Genomic DNA, 17,320 nt, shown 5'->3' on the forward strand with positions numbered 1-17,320 from the left:
ACTGTGCTCTACAGATAGTGGCATTTCACAGAGGTTTGTTGCCATGAAAGAAGGTGTTGATGAGTCGTTTTTGACAGTCCAACATTTTCTAACACAAAAGTAGATATGATGTGATTCCATCCTATTCATTCAAAGACTTCAGAATAAAACTTTGTCATTTGGCTAGATCTAAGGCAAGAACTGATCAGATGTAGTTAGTATTTCCAGTCAACAAACTGCCATTGATGTTGAAATTACTTTAAAGACCTGTTGATTATGTGGTATTAGGGCCATTGTGACCTCGCTGTAGCTAAGATCAGTCCACTGCAGCAGGAGTTTCAAGAACAGCAGCACAAAAATAATGACTTAACTGGATAGAAAAAAAGGCACATATTTTCAGGAAGGCCTCTTTATTCTTAGAAGTTACCCTTCAAGATGACAAGTGGTGCAAACTCTTCAGGATCTTACCTGCCCTCAGAAATAAGGTGAGTCTTTGATGGAAAATGCTGAATAGAAAAGAGGGTCTCTCTCTCTCTCTCTCTCTCTCAACCCAGGCTAAAGGCAGATATTATTGTGCCTCTTCCCACAGAAGTTCTAAAATAGATGACAACTACTTGAAGGAATTGAATGAGGACTTAAAGCTAAGGAAGCAGGAACTGCTAGAGATGCTCAAACCTCTAGAAGATAAAAACAACCTCTTATTTCAAAAGTTAATGTCTAACTTGGAGGAAAAACAAAGGAGGTACGGGCTCTTACTCTGGATTCCTAGAGGTAAAAAGGCTGGAGAACTTGATCTCCAAAGGACTGGCAATAATTACTTACAATTTTTTTTTTTGTTAATTACTAAAGGTTTGGACATTCAGCTGTAGCAGGCAAACAATTTGTAACTACCAAGTCAGGGTGACAACAAATCCTTTATTTTCTTTTAGTAAATTAAATATGACTCAGCCCTCATTTCGTGGGGCTAGTTATAACTCTTCCTCCCCAGGCTGCCCACCCAAGAAATAGTGAAACGCTTTTAATAGCATTAGTTTACCACGGTCACACAGATGCTTTCTTATGCATGATCACTTTAGAATAAATAACTCTGCTCTTTCTATGCCAAGCAGTGGAATGGCAGTATTTTCTAAGCCTAGGAGCCCTCTGAATTAGGGCACAGCCTCTCTAAATATACTAGGCAGCTGAAGTCTTAACTCTTTACCAGAGCACTCACTGTACTTGGGACCCACAAACTCTGTTTCCTTTCTAGTCTCAGAACCTCTCTCCTCAGTGAGTCTATCTTTATTCTATACCCTTATCATAAGCATCTCAAAGGACTCATATTTTTGGAGAACAAAACGCAGGCAGAAAGTTGTGGTCAAGCACCAGCTGCTTACAACTCAGCAACAAGCACCAGCTGCTTACAACTCAGCAAAATAGACTTCTCTCAGAGCAAGAAAACACAAAGTCTTAGAATTGTGTTCTTCGCTTAGAACTGGGGAGAAAAAAGTACAAGAACACAAATATAAAATAATTTATGCCTTTAAGGAATATCCTCTCTCACAAGGACTTGATTTTGATTTAGATTTTGTTAGAACTTCTTAATGGCTTGCATTCTCTGGGGCTATGAAAGGATATCAGTGACTTCCCCAATAGACTCAAATGTCCTCATAGGAAGAAGCAAGGAAGTGGGAGAAAGTGGACAGAGGACAGAGATGGGTTAGGAAATAACTCTGGGATTTATCCTAGAAGATAGCAGGTTCTTCAACCTCTTCTTATAAAGGGGGCAGAATTACCCCTTCTTCTCCCAAAAGTCACACACTGCAACATTCTTCTGAGGGGGTGGAAAGGACTCTCCCTGGCTGTTGGAGACCTAAGTTTTAAGCATTAAAGAGCACAGAATTCATTCTAGAGCACATAGATAGGCAAATGTCAATTAGAAATGGAAACATCTTAGTTACAGAGATCTTCTATGACCAGAAGGGCTTCCATAACTCCTGATATTTCAGTCGCCATCTAACTTTCATGGTAGAGTACTTTCTGACTAGTTGCAGAACATCAGTATTACCCTTAAGGAGGTATGTATGTTTTATGATGCCTCTCTTTCTTCTAGTCTTCAGATCATGAGACAGATCATGGCAGGGAAGGGGTGTGAGGAATCCTCGGTCATGGAGCTCCTTAAGGAAGCAGAGGAGATGAAACAGAACTTGGTAAGAAGTAGGAGGGACTCCAGGAACAGCCTCCTGAATAGGGCTCAATTCCATTGCAGTGTCAGATGTGGAGAGAAAGACAGAGTACTCATCTCTAGCATCTGATGCTCCAACACTCATATCTCCTTGATCTAGAAAGTCCAGGGTGACCCAAAAGGAGTCAGATGGAATGTTGGGAAGAACACGACTAGCAAGCAAAAATTCTATTCTTTGACTTTTAAAAACTTTTTATCTAGGGAATTAATGAATATAACCATATTAACTCTTCACATTTCAGAAAGAATAGTAAAATATTTGCTATAAAGAATAGAAAATACCTATCAAAGTAAAAGAAAAGAAATAGTTTGCTCTGCAGGATTCTTACAAGATTTTCTTTCAATCAGCAATGTAAAGGATCTTAAAAATTAAAAATTAGTGGTCTAAGCCCCCAAGAAATGGCCACATAAGAGCATCTTAAGTGTTAGGAACTCATTTCTATAGATACTGTCTCACAATTATTATAATTAAAGTTATTACTTAAAACAATAACTTGGTTTTTTTTTTACCATCATCATCATCAAACATCTCTTATGCTCCTGGATTTGGGATTAGACCCATTCATTGCCTTCCTCTGTGGTTTACTATGTCCCTGGACCCTTTTTCCACTATTACTTAGTAACTTCTTCCAAACCCACTTCAATGGCTGGACAAATACATGCTTCTGTTTGTTTGGTTCTTCCCCCTCCAACAGGAAAGGAAAAACAAGATGCTTCGGAAGGAAATGGAGATGCTATGGAACAAGGTGTGCCTCTAAGGATCTATTGAAAGTATTGTCCTACAGATCACAACGCAAAGAACCTCCCTTTCCTCTGGCCCCCATCCTCATTGTTTCATGTCCTTGCTTCCACCCATGCCTCATTCCAATCCATTCTCTACACAGCAGCCAAGGTGATCTTTTTAAAACAATCAAAGCATGTTACTCTTCTTATGAAAAACCTTTACAGCCACTAATTGTGGCATAATCTGGCTCTTGCCTATTCTCCAGTTTCCTCTCATAGATGTCCTTCCCTTGCTTTCTATGCAACCATGCCACTGGCTTCTTGTGGTTTCTCAAACATGCCAAGCTTTTTCCTATCTCAAGGACTTTGCTCTTGCCTTCTCCACTGCCTGTAATGCTATTTTCTCATGGTTGGCTCATTCTCATCCTTCAGGTCTCAGCTTAAATGTCATCTCCTTAGAGAAGCCATCCTTGTTTGCTCCATCTAAAGTAGGGCATCCTCCTCCCCTTTTCTATTATATAACTCTGCTTATGTGCTCAATAGCACTGTTTATAATATAAAATTATTATTATTGTATTATTATTACTTTTTAAATTGTTTCTTGTTTCCCTGCCTCCTCCTGTATCTTCTCAAGCTCCTTCAATATCTTGATTGCTTTGTCCAAATCTATAGCTCCTAGCACAATGCTTGGAACATAGTAGAGAATCAATACATGTAAGTTGGATGAATAAACAAATGAATACCTAATTCCAATACCCTTATAATTTTACAGCAATCACCACATTGTTTAAGATAACAATATTAGGGCCTTTTGCTGGGAAACCAGAGCCAGGGAGTAGGGGGAAGGGGACAGGGAATTCCTTTGTCCCTTGTCCGAGACTTTGTCCAAGACTAATCCCTTGGGACCCAAGTGCTTCTTTACAGACTATGCAACTAGAAGAGTAGACTGTGTCTTGTGATATAAACAGATATATAGTGTGATCTCTGTCTTTTTTTTTCATCTGACTTTTCCACAAATAATCAGAATACCTTCAAGCCCTGCATCTTGTATTGAGATCTGCTCCAGGTTCTCGTGGGCAGTTACAAATTAGTTCTATGAATTTCCAGAAGTTTTAGTTCCTGGGTTCTTGAGTCCTCGTAATAGGAAATGTGCCAGCACAATTCCTCTATCTAAATCCAGCTTCTACAGAGCTCTCAAAAGGGACATCTATACACTTAACCTGTGATCAACTTTCCCTACTCATATTTTAGAAGAACAGCATGCCTAGTGGTCAAGAACACAGGCTTCAGAATCAGAAAGATCTGGTTCAAATTCCAACTCTGTACTTTCCTAGTTGTGTAACCCTAAACAAATAACCTCTCCAAGTCTCAGGTTTCTCATCTATAATATGGAAATAAAAATGGTCCTCAAAGAATTGTGAGGATTAAATGAGAATGTCTGCAATACAGTACAGTAAGGAAAATAAGCAGAGTAATGCAGTAAGTAGCTTAGAGTAGTGACTGGCTAAGGGTCCAGCTAATAGTTTTCATTCCTATAAGGTACACTCAAGGGACTGAATGAAAGGAAGGGCTCATTACATTCTCAACTCCCTTTGGTAGTACACTTTTCATGCCAGGCCCTGAGAAGCTGCTGACTGGCAGGAACCAAAACCTTGACCCATATTGGTTTTCCACTTCCCTCTTTAATTTCCACTACTTTAAAGCTTTGCCAAAATGTCTTTCCACAGACATTCGAGGCAGAAGAACTTAGTGATCAACAAAAAGCACCACAGACAAAAAACAAGGCAGACTTGCAGGATGGAAAGGCAAGTGGACTGCATGTACTTAAAATTTCAAGATTGTCGATGTCACACAGCTGGAAACAGCCTGCTGACAATCAGGGCTAATTTGGGTAGGCAGATAGGTAGGATCTGGGTTTTTAGGGTTTATTAGATTTATGGCCTGCTGAGACATTGCACTTCTTTCCTAGGACCTCTTATTCCTTTAGCTCTCTTCTTTCATCCCAGGCTCCCAAATCCCCCTCATCACCTAGGAAGACTGAGAGTGAACTGGAGAAATCATTTGCAGAGAAAGTGAAGGAGATAAGGAAGGTAGTACAGCCATTCTGAATGGCAGTGGCTTTTAGAGCTAGTAAACTAGAAATCTTTAATGTTGTAGTAATTTGCCTAAGGTATGGTGTGCTCTTGGACCAATGCCAATTTTTATAGATTTGGTTCCCTTGTGTTACTATATTTGAGTTAGAGTGATATCACAAGTTTCTGGGAAATCATATTACGAAAAAGTGAGAGAAGCTATACCAACAATGATAACTCTGCAACAGCTAAATGATGTCAGAACTTCCGTTCATTTGTCTTTGAAAATGTATTCAGTGGTAGTATGCTGGTATCTCATCTTCCCATAACCAACTCACCAACATAAAATAACCCTATTCATTAGCTTTTAGAGGATGGCTTGTACAGTTGAGGCCAATTAAGAGAATTGTGCAGTTAAAGTCAATTTAATAGTAAATCTGCGACACTATAATTTTGCTATAAGGCTTTTGCAGCATATTGAGAAAACTGATTGCTGATCTCAATTTACTTTGTCACCCAGAGGCTCTTTCTTCCACCAGGAAAAGCAACAGAGGAAAATGGAATGGGTCAAGTATCAGGAACAAAATAACATCCTTCAGGTACTAAGATCTTCCAAGGCTGGATATAGGATGCAATTTCATTCATATAATACAAAGGCTTTTAGCTGCATATTGTGAAGCCCAGTCCCCACATCCTAGATTACCGATTGCCCTGCTAAAACAAATGTATCATAGAAAGATAGCTGAAGGGACCTATCTCTGAACTTGGAATAAATGGTATTTCTTCCTATATTCTTGATTTCGTTCTATTCTAAATGGGGAAAAATCACAAATACTTTCTACCCAACTTTTAAAGACTGAGCATGATGGAATTACTTTTTAACTTCTGGGTAAAGAGGATTCAGGTAACAATGGATTCAGAGAAGCCAATCCTATATGTGTAGTTTTGGAAAATATTCTCTTTCAGAATGATTTTCATGGCAAAGTGATTGAGCTGAGAATTGAAGCCTTGAAGAACTACCAGAAGGCCAATGACCTGAAATTATCACTGTATTTGCAGCAGAATTTTGAGCCAATGCAAGCATTTTTAAATCTTCCTGGGTCCCAAGGTAGGTAGAATATCCCAGGTACACAGTTTGAGGTTTTGTTTTGTTTATTTTATATTGGAGACCTTTACTTGTAAAGTGAGCAACACAATGCCTGGCACACAGTAAGTTAAATGTTAGTAGTACAGTAATTAATTTTTTCATTATCTTTTTTTTTTTTTTGAGACAGAGTCTGGCTCTGTTGCCCAGGCTGGAGTGCAGTGGTGCGATCTCAGCTCACTGCTACCTCTGCCTCCCGGGTCCCAGTTCAAGCAATTCTCCTGCCTCAGCCTTCCGAGTAGCTGGGATTACAGGCACGCACCACCATGCCCAGCTAATTTTTGTATTTTTAGTAGAGACGGGGTTTCACCATGTTGGCCAGGCTGGTCTTGAACTCCTGACCTCGTGATCCACCTGCCTTGGCCTCCCAAAGTGCTGGGATTACAGGTGTGAGCCACCACGCCCGGCCTATCATCATTTTTATGACTCAGAAGCTTCTTTACTAAGGCAAAGATTCTCTCTGGGAGAACTGTTTTCCTTTGTAAAGATAAAGTAATATATTACATACTTAGCATATGTAGCTGATATATAGCTAGCACTCAATAAAATATGTTTCCTTTCCACCTCATCCCCTTTTCTAGGAATTAGAATTGTTTAATCTTATTAATCTTGCTGGAATAGACTCTGCTACTTCAAAGCAGAAGGCCAAGGAGACAGACATCTGACAAAGGTTGTGAATTTTGTCAATCCAGTTGTCCCTCTGAGAGTTTCAGCGATTTCCCCACAGAATTTACGGCAATATTAGAGAAAATAATATAGTTCATTTAAAAAATAGAATATAGAGATGGCTCTGAGGACAGGGAAAAAGTTCTTAAATTTTCAAGTATCTATGAATATGAACTCCATTTTTCAAAAAGGACACGAGATGGGAAATCATGGCCAAGGGATGACAATGTTCTATCAGTATCAGTATGTATGTTTCTAATTTCTTAGTCTTATTCTGTAAAGCGCTTAAACAGCTTACAAAAATCACAGTCAACACATAGGGTTAAATAAATATATGAGTAAATCAAAGAAAAGGGAAAATAAGTTGAAGCCGGGCAAATACACAAGAATGCATAATGAGAGTACTGTACAGCTGGCAGAGGTAGGCTACAAATTTGGTTCTGAATTTTCCAGTAAAAAGAAACATGGATTTATGAAACTCATGAAGTAACAACAAACCAATTGCTCAGGAGAAACATAGTTTTTCCTGGTGTTGAAATCTGAGAGAAATTTCTCCTCCAGGTCCATATAATGGGGGCAGGACATTGTTTGTGTGATGATAGTCGCCAATGTCTTCAACAATATTTCAAAATAAATTCAGAATCTAAATTTCCTAGGTTGTTTCTCCTCTGTTCTTTGGCATAATCTGATAAAAAGATATTAATCTGAAATTTATTTTAAGTGACAAATCACCTCAAGATGATTTGATTCAGGTACATAAGACTCTCTGGTCTGGCTTGATCCATAGGTAAATTTTAGAAAACTAGTAAGACTGAACTGACTATCCTTCAGGCAGTATTCTATGCATATTTTTCTTTCAATTTATGTTCTAATAAGAATTGGACAGCATAAAATTGGAAAGAATCCTGGAATGCAACAAGAAGCAGTATTAAATCATTAAGATACAAATTTAAAAGACAGAAGAGAAGAGGGTTATGAGGAAGACAGACAAGTCCCTGTTTTACTTCATTCAAAATTAGCTGAAGGTCATCTCAAGGGATCTATATGGTAAAGAGCCAAAAGCTTTTTAGCTCCAGAATCAAATTAAGTCTAAATTAGTAAATAAGGGTTCCATTCAACTTGATTGTCTCAGGAGATATTTTTTCTCCTTGCATGTAAAACATTGAATCAACTTTGAATTGGAACAGCCACAGATCCACATCTTCTTTTCTCTCCTTTCCTTTTATGTTCCTGGAGAATTAAATGATAGGGTACTATACGGCTTAGTTACCACAAATTAATGTAGCCACAGGCAATGGATCAATGTGTTAAATTGATTCTGCATTCATTTAGCACTAATTATGGGCCAGTTTCATTTTCTAACACATGTATTCAAACTCTATAGGTTTGTTTGAGCCCAAGTGGATTTGAAATCTAATGGAGTCCTATATTTTGGTTATGTGGCCTATTTTTTCACCTCTAGTATTTGATTATTTAAAAGCAAACAAATATTCTCTTCATAAAGGATTTTAAAACTAATTATGTAAAGAGGTTATTACCAACCTATTTGGTAATAATTTCTTAATGGTAGGTGTTGTAGTATTTTCCAACTTTGTGTATCACCTGGACTATTATTTATTCAATATTTGTTGTTTACATTGACTTCTTTAGTTTCCTAAATGCATTCCTTGAAAATAAAATTTATATTACTATTTTAAATGAAGAATCAATAGAGTTTTCCACAATAGAAGGTAAACTTAATAATAAATACACAAAAAACAAGATTTTAATGTTCTAGAAAAATACATAAGCCTGAGATCTATTTTATCTCCATTAGGAAGTGAGATTAGAAAGACATACAGAATTTTGGCCAGGCATGGTGGCTCACGCCTGTAATCCCAGCACTTTGGGAGGCTGAGGCAGGTGGATCACGCGGTCAGGAGATTGAGACAATCCTGGTTAACATGGTGAAACCCCATCTCTACAACAAAATACAGAAAATTAGCCAGGTGTGGTGGCACACACCTATAGTCCCAGATACTCAGGAGGCTGAGGCAGGAGAATCGCTTGAACCTGGGAGGCAGAGGTTACAGTGAGCTGCGATGACGCCACTGCACTCCAGCCTAGGTGACAGAGCGAGACTTCGTATCAAAAAAAAAAAAAAAAGACATAGAGAACTTTAAAGAAAGCCAGCACCAAACTGCAACTTTCTCCTTGATGCCATCAAGTTTGAAATAATTGAAAAGGCAATAATTTTCTCACTGTGATTTATAGTATTTAATGCCTTGTCCCAACACCGAAATTTATCCCAATTGCCACCTAAAATCATCTCATCATCAAATTTTGGCAAATTGTAATTTAAGGAAAAAAGCACTGAATTTAAGACTCAGATACATGAGTTGCAGGCCTTCCTCTGAGGCTCACCAGTTATATGACTTGGAAAAGTCATTTAATTTCAGGTTTTAAAAATACAAACAACATTAACATGGAGCATGCTGAGAACTTAATACCTTGTGCAACCCTCACAGTGACTCTATGAAAGGTATTATAGAACAAGAAACAAGCTCAGAGAAGCCAGGCTTCTTGGCTCCATATTCAATCCTTATTCCCTAGACTATGCTACAAAATGGATGTGTAAAAGCATGTGACTTTTCATGCCTCTTCTAGATCTAAACGCTATAATTTGAATCCAAATTTATTATCTGTTTAACGTATAATCTTCTCAGTGAAGAAGCATACTCCTAAGGTTAATTTGTTCAGTAAGAAAATGTTAACTCTGCATTTAGCCCAGTAGGTGGCACCAACCACATCCAGGCTTCAAGTCCACAGAGTGGTAATTCAGGAACCATGAAATGCTGTGGGAGAGATCGGTCTTCTATTACTCTCAGGACAAAAGGTGCCACATTCATGTATCAAATGAAAAAAGAAAAAAATTTCTTGATGTTTTATCACATGCTCTTTTGGCACCAAGGTGTATTACTGGCAGCCTTGATTAGACCATGTTAAACTCAGTGTTCTGTTGCATAATTTTTACCTAGTATTTTACTCCCTGTACTACAGTTATCTCCATTTCAAAAAACAGTCACTGCCCACTTCCTCCACAATCCTTGTAGAATAGTGTTCCCTTCCACCACAGATAAATCAGGCGATTGGGGCACTAAAAGAAAAAATGAGCACTAAACAAAAAATAAAAGATGGTGCTTATTTGAAGTTTGTATACTTAACAGTGTTACAGGACAGCGTTTCTTTTTCTCTAGTTTCAAAAGAATTGAATTGCACAAACCTGTCTTAGAGAAAGGGTGGAATATAATTTTGGACACACCTCTCAGTAAATCAGGGTACAGGCTTTTCTGTTCTAAGCATTTCCAAGTAGATGAAGAGTTTACCTCAGTACTCTTAGCCAAGAATTCCTCCTCCCACTGTCCGATGTGCTGGTTGGCTGAGTTGCAGTGGTATGATCTGTGTAGCTGGCAAAATACAATCCTGTGTTAATATTACTGATTTTGTTACACTTCAACAAATCCCTACTTGTGAATTCCCTTGATGCCCAGGATGTGGCATTACCGTCATCCATGTTATCTCTTTGGCATGCTGCCTCACTTAGTCTGTTTATACCTACGATGAAGTCTTTACTTTTGATCTTTCCGGAGACAGGTGACATTTGAAAGGATTTACTTTTCCACCAGTGTAAAATTATAATTTGATTCAGGGTGTATTGTAGGCCCTCCCTAACTTCTATAGAGTCCAGAAGGCAAGTTTGTGGACTTTGGCAGTCACCTATCTTAGAGAGCACAGGTGCTAAGCAATCTCTAAATTCAACTGAATTTCCCATCATATCTGCTGGTGTTTAAAGAAGAGGTTTATCTTCAGCAATAATATAACTTGTGTTAAGACATTTGATTCTGATAGCTTTGCTTTTCTCTCCTCCCCTCAATCCCCACCAACTCTTAGCATTTCCTTGAGCTCTTCTGAGAAAAACCTGAACGTTGGATGTGAGTATTATGCTACACTTATAAATTCAGATGAAAGCCCAGCGAAATGGGAAATGAATACTCTTTGAGACCTTATTTATTCTCTAACTCCTTCTGTTCTGAAAGCAAGTCATTCTTCCTGGCTTTAACCTTTACTTCACTTTAGTATTATTCTTCCTGATGGCTGAACTACACTTCAGCAGGTGCTGCTGAAGGGAAAATAGTAGTGTTAAGCTAAAATGCTGAAGGGCAGGGGCGGAAAACCACAGCTAGCTCAAATCCGGGTCCTTGATAAGCAGTACTGTTGCTTTCAAGTACAGGCTTTTTAAAGCTTTGAGGCAACCTGAACCTTTTGAATGTCAAAGTTAGGTTTATGGTATTAATAGGTTATAAAGTTAATTTCTAAACTAAGTCATTCTTTTACTTCTTTAATACTTCACAGAAATTCAGGGGGAGAATAAAATTCTTTTCTTCCTAAATATAAATTTTGAAGCTTGACAAAATAAACTGTACCCTTATTAATATTATTTTAATGGGTGACAACAGATTCCATAATTTGTGGGCATCACACACTCAGGAGTGCAGCAGTATGTCTAGGAAAATGTTATCATATTTAGCAAATAAAAAGGGATACCCTATTAAATTTGAATTTCACCAAATAATTTTTAGTATAAGTGTGTCCCAAATATTTCATGAGATATATGAAAAATTATTTGGTGTTTATATTAAAATTCAAATTTAACTGGGAGTCCCATATTTTAGTCTGGCAACTCTAATTTAGAACAGACTCACTATCGGTTGTATTTAGCACCCTATAATTCTCCCTTTTTCTCCTTTTCATTGCCTCCCTTCTCACCCTACGCCTACCATTCTGTCTGCTTCCTCTTTCTCTTCCCCATCTTCACCTTTATCTTTTGTTTATTCTCCACTATCTATAATTGACCATTTTTGTGAAATATATCTATCTGGTTTATCTGAGGGTATGTATATATACACATAACTTATTATTCCACTTCTTTATTTACTTGCATATAATTCTTAAATGATTTTTCCCCCTGTGGGACATGAGCTGTAAACAGAAAAACAGTCTGCCACTCCAACTTCTGAAATATTGTTTGACAAAGTTATTTTCTAAAAAAAAAAAATCAGAAAATTCACATCAATGCTAATACCCACAGTGATACAAAACAAAACAAAACTAGTGGTTTTTTTTTTTTTTCCCCCTCAAAAGAAGCTCTTATTTTCCTAATGTTTCCCCTTAGGTACTATGGGCATTACAACTATGGACAGAGTGACTACTGGCAGAAATGAACACCATGTGGTGAGAACTACTTTCTTTAAACAAACAAAAAATCGTTTTAAGGGCTTGAATAGATAGTGGGTATAGATTTTTGGAATGCATTGCTTAACATATATTCTAATTTAATATTTTAGGGGATTTGCAGAGTGGGTGCTAGGGTACTCAATATTTTAGCTGTCCTTTTTCCTCTGTTTTTTCCTGTCTAGAGAATTCTGGGAACAAAGATCTACACAGAACAACAAGGAACTAAAGGAAGTCAGCTTGATAATACAGGAGGGAGACTCTTTTTTCTGAGGTCATTGCCAGATGAAGCACTGAAGAATTAGCAGGCTTTCGCTCCATTTGCTTTGGACAGATTTAAAGACTAGGCACAGCCATTTGTGTTAATTAAAATCTCTCGCACCTTTGTTTTAGTGCTGTTTTCCCTCTCTCCCCCGACCAATCTGGGTGGAAATGTTGGATGTCTGGCCTTAAACATGTATGGAATGTAGTCATTTAGGGATTGTAAACAACCTCTGATTATTTTGATAGCTTTTGGATTTGAAATGACCACATTTCAACCACATTATACAATATGTTTTTACTAAGTCCATAAAAAGGAGCTTCTCTCCACTTCTGAAGTATGTAATTGTGGACAGATCCAACAGTGGGAAATGAGAAAAAGTAGGTATAAAATAAGTAAAATTATATACCACAGACTTCTTTTACTCTCTCACCAAAAACATCAAAATGACCTGTTGATTCTGCCTCCTTGTTATCTATTCCTTGAATATCATCCACTTTCCTAGTACCACTGTGGTTTTGTTTTTGTTTTTGTTTTTTTCCCCAGGCCCTCCTTCCTGCCTGGATTACCATAGCCTCTTAATTGGTTTCCCCTGCTTCCAGTTCCTCTAATTCATCTTCCACAGTACCACTGAAGCTATCTTTTATAAAAGATAAATGAGATCATGTCATTCCCCTACTGGTTTCTCGCTGAAGTCCAAGGTCCTTCACAGACCATAAATGATATGCCTCCTGCCTACCTTCTCTGTCTCATCTTTCACTATGTCCCCCTTTTCTCATACATCCCACATTGAGCTCCACATTACTATTAATATTTACAGTTCTCCCCATGTATCATTAGTTCTATTAGGTCCATGCACAAAGTGGAAGGATACTTCTCTCCTTTAGCTATGACCATTGCCTGTTTGTCTTAAGGACTGAATGTGCTGCCCTTCTATCCCACTGATACTCAATCCTAGCTGTGTATTGGAATCCCCTTAAGAGCTTTGAAAAATAGCATTCTACTGGGCCCCGCCCCTGATAATTTAAATTATGGTAACTGAGCGATAGGGCAAAAGCATCCGTATTTTTTAAAAGCTTCTCAAGAAATTCTAATGGGCAATCAGGTTTGAGACTTGTTGCTAGGCTCTCTTACTTCTGTCACAGCACTAATTGAACTCTATCGCAATTATTGGTTTATCCAGCTACCTTCCTCATCAGGTGGTGAGCTCTTTGAGGGCCAGGATTCTATCTTGCTATCTTTTCATTTTGACTGCTTAACACAGTGCCTAGCATTTTAAAGAGGCTCAGTAAATGATATGTAGAAGGCCACAGAAAGTTAATTTCCAAGTCCCAGGTCTCTCGATGTCTTGCCTTGTGTTAATTACCACGGGATTATATCATAGTTCCTGAGATCTTCAGATATTTTCTTTCACTCTAAGTTGTCATTAATTTCCTATCTCATGTCAGTATAGAAGAGTTGATTTGTCACAAAACACTTCATAATCTGTAGGAATCCCTCATACTTTCTGGTAATAAGCAAAGTGAGCCAGCCAATTCAAAATCTTCTTTTTCTCAATGTCAATTTAAATCTTTAAAGATGCATTTTAAATATGAATTTTTAAATGTACTTTTGCACTGGAAACGGTTTACAAGAAATCACAGAATTTTGGCATTAGAAGGAACTTTAAATAACTATAAAGTTTCCTTCACTTTCCAAAAAAGGATACTGGAGTTCAGATACATTGAAAAGGTGTCTAAATTCCTACAGTTAATTGGGGCCAGGGCTGGTTACCAGAGCCTAGGTATTAATACTGCCAGTTCATATTCCAATCTAAATTGTATCTTTCCTCTCCTAACCACAAAAATAATGGCCTCTAAAACCCTGAGGTGATTAGTTTAATATTCTACCAACTGAGTTAGTGGAGTATGTAATTTACATTGTTTCAAGAAAGCCATCACTGTACTTATTTAGTCCCTGGGAGATTCTGGCAGTCCTGAGAGATTTTCCAAGTCAATTGGATTAGACAGAGCAATGAGAACAAAAGATGAAAATATAAAATCTGAATGTACTACTGATTACCTTGAACTAGTCATTTAACCTCAGGGCTTTAGATTCCCAATTTTAAAATTAAATTAAAAGAGCATCATTTGAATGTTTTAAAATTATGGGTTTGTTTTTTTTTTTAACCACTACAGTGAGTTTGAATTCGTATATGACCTCCCTCCTTTTTTTTTTTTTTCTTGTTTGTTGTTAACTAAGGCATGGAATAAAGTAGTTTACTTGGTAGCTGAGGTTGTAACTTCTTAAAAAGTGAATTATTTGCCATTGCCAAAGTATTTACATTTTATGTTCATTACCAGTCAGGCTTAACATCTTTCCTTCAAATGTTCCAAACCTTTCAATTTTTTCAAAACACAAAACTGGGATAGCCTGTTATCCTACTTTGTCTTTAGGACTTTATATTGGACTCTGACTTTCATAAGGGCAGTATAAAGTTATCAGTTAGATTGGGTGACTCCTCATGAGTGTCTGCATTTCAGTGAATCCAGGAAATGGATCTCAGTTTTGTGAGTACAGACAAATTTATATGGTCAACTTATTCAAAAGGTCAGAGACTTATTCAAGCTACTCAAACTCCCAAGAGATTAACTGATACACCCAATATTAAATTACAGAGAGGGCTATTACCTTACAATTTGGTGGGAATATGTCTATATTTAGGGTATTCCTATCTCCAAATCAAGTTATAGTAAACTGAACTAGTAATCAAAAAGTACTTGGGATTGAAACATCATTATTATAGTTTTATTTGTGCTCATAATATTCTGATTATATTCCTCTGAGAATAAAATCTCTGATAACCTTAACCACATATGGGCAATACTTTTCAATTTCAAGGTCAATTGAGGAAAAACCTGTCCCACCAGCAATACATTTACAAATCGTAACTTTGGGTAGACTATTTTTGTAACTTATCTCATTTATTTTATCTTGACTTTCTAGCCATGCAGAGGATATCAGCTAACATTCTATCCCAAAAAGTTGCCTTTTTGCATTGCCAGAAAGTGATTAGTAATGTCTGTCACACTTCCTAAATGAAATAAGGCCAACAACAGCCTGATACTTTCATCTTTAGTCTAGAATTGCAATAATCAAAGAGGGGAAGCGACAACACATAACATTTTGCCTTACACTCGTAGATCCAGGCAGAAAATCTAGTTTTAGTGTTGTTTATGTGAACAGTGGCCACCTTAGGTGGTGTCTCTCCTTTTATTGGTAGAGGCTTCTGTAACCTGTTGCACGCCAAGTAAAATCTCTATTGGTCCCTCTGGCACCTTGGAAGGAGCCTGCATTGCTACCAATTCAAAGTCCCTGTTGATTCATATGTTCTGTATTTAGTCAACAAATATTAGGAAATGGGAAGAGAACAAGGTCCCGTGCTGGAAAGGGAGGCTTGGTCTGCAACCAGTCAATTTCACGGCAGGAGATGCACAGGCAGATACATATGAAATATAATTATTACATGGCAAAAGTGAGAATTTTTCAGGACAACTAAAAATCCATCTTCTCTACTTCTTTCACAAATTCACTTATGATTCCTAACATGAAAACTTAAGTTTCATTTTAAGTATAAAACATGATATAAACATTCCTAGAAACTATATTTCTCCCAATTATTAGTCAACCTAGGGAAAGTGAGATTACTTAGGTTAACAAAATAATTTTTGTTTTGTACGTTGCTTTTTAAGGAAAAATATTTTTCTGGGGATGCTGGGTTTTAAGATAAATTTTAGTTACATAGAAACCAATGAATAATGGTAGAAAAGCATGATGCTTTTGATTTTTTAAAAGGTCCACTTAAAGTCAATCCATGTCAGTTTTTAAGCTTGGACTATCTTTTCTTGATATATATACTGAATCCTAAAAACTGAAGGCATTGCAGACAGAGCCCTTTTAAGAAATCAAATAGCTTCTGGGGCAATTAATATTACTTTCCAATTTAGCAAATCTCATTTTCCTTTCCCATATCTAATGATCTTTCCCTCTTCTAGAAAATACTGCCCTTCTCTTTTATGGTCTACCTTTTTTTTTTTTTCTTTCAGGAGGGAGAAAAATTAGTGCTTCCTTTAGAAATCAAAATTTTTGTTCCTGGTTTTCTTCTTTTATCAGATACACAGCCACATAAATAAATGGAAACTTCGTACATTTGTAAATTGTCAGTACATACCTAGGAAGAACTTCTCTACCTTCTGAATATTAATATGTGACTATATAGGCAGAATTAAAGGTATATAAACTGGAGCCCTCAGGAAAGTATAACCTCTATAGTATAATGGAGAAAGAGGAGTTTGTAATTTGTCTTATAAGTGCTTTGCAGATTGGCACATGATGTAAATCTATGATTCTCAGTTTTGGTTCTTGGGATCCTTTACATTCGTAAAAATTGAGGATTTTATGGAGCTTTTGCTTATGTAGGTGATATGGTTTGGCTCTGTGTCCCCATCCAAATCTCATCTTGAATTGTACTCCCATAATTCCCAGGTGTTGTGGCAAGAACACGGGGGGGAGATAGCTGAATCATGAGGGTGGTTTCCCTCATACTGTTCTCATGGTAGTGAGTAAGTCTCATGGGATCTGATGGTTTTATCAGAGGCTTCTGCTTTTGTGTCTTCCTCATTCCCTCTTTGCCTGCTGCCATCCACGTAAGATGTGACTTGCTCCTCCTTGCCTTCCGCCATGATTGTGAGGCATCCCCAGCCACGTAGAACTGTGAGTTCTCTACTAAACCTCCTTCCTTTGTAAATTGCCCAGTCTCAGGTATCTCTTTATCAGCAGCATGAAAACAGACTAATACAGTAGGTTACCTATATTCAAATTTCCAGATTAAAAAATTTTAAATATACTAAATATTTACTATAATGGGGTACTGATCTAAATTATACCCTAGAGCCAGATGCTGTGGCTCGTATCTGTAATCACAGTTACTTGGGAGGCTG

General features: G+C 37.4%; 1 protein-coding gene across 22 annotated transcripts; it reads left to right on the plus strand.

The window, feature by feature from the left end:
• Positions 1-282: 282 nt before the first annotated feature.
• Positions 283-12,465, plus strand: CCDC196 (coiled-coil domain containing 196). Of its 22 annotated transcripts, none has more exons than XM_024449601.2 (13): positions 283-464; positions 569-721; positions 2,072-2,168; positions 2,899-2,949; positions 4,654-4,731; positions 4,933-5,016; positions 5,538-5,597; positions 5,965-6,106; positions 6,724-6,812; positions 9,574-9,683; positions 10,739-10,779; positions 12,021-12,079; positions 12,265-12,465. In XM_024449601.2, exons 1-9 carry the CDS (start codon positions 415-417, stop codon positions 6,738-6,740), a joined length of 732 nt encoding a protein of 243 aa, XP_024305369.1. In that variant the 5' UTR covers positions 283-414; the 3' UTR covers positions 6,741-6,812; positions 9,574-9,683; positions 10,739-10,779; positions 12,021-12,079; positions 12,265-12,465. The 22 variants fall into 22 exon arrangements, 19 of the variants coding, with proteins under 19 accessions (XP_024305369.1, XP_024305370.1, XP_024305368.1 ...); XM_024449602.2 differs by having other exon boundaries at positions 9,582-9,683; XM_024449600.2 differs by lacking the exon at positions 9,574-9,683.

The sequence above is a fragment of the Homo sapiens genome, chromosome 14 (assembly GCF_000001405.40).
Source record: "Homo sapiens chromosome 14, GRCh38.p14 Primary Assembly".
Classification (NCBI taxonomy): Eukaryota; Metazoa; Chordata; class Mammalia; order Primates; family Hominidae; genus Homo; species Homo sapiens.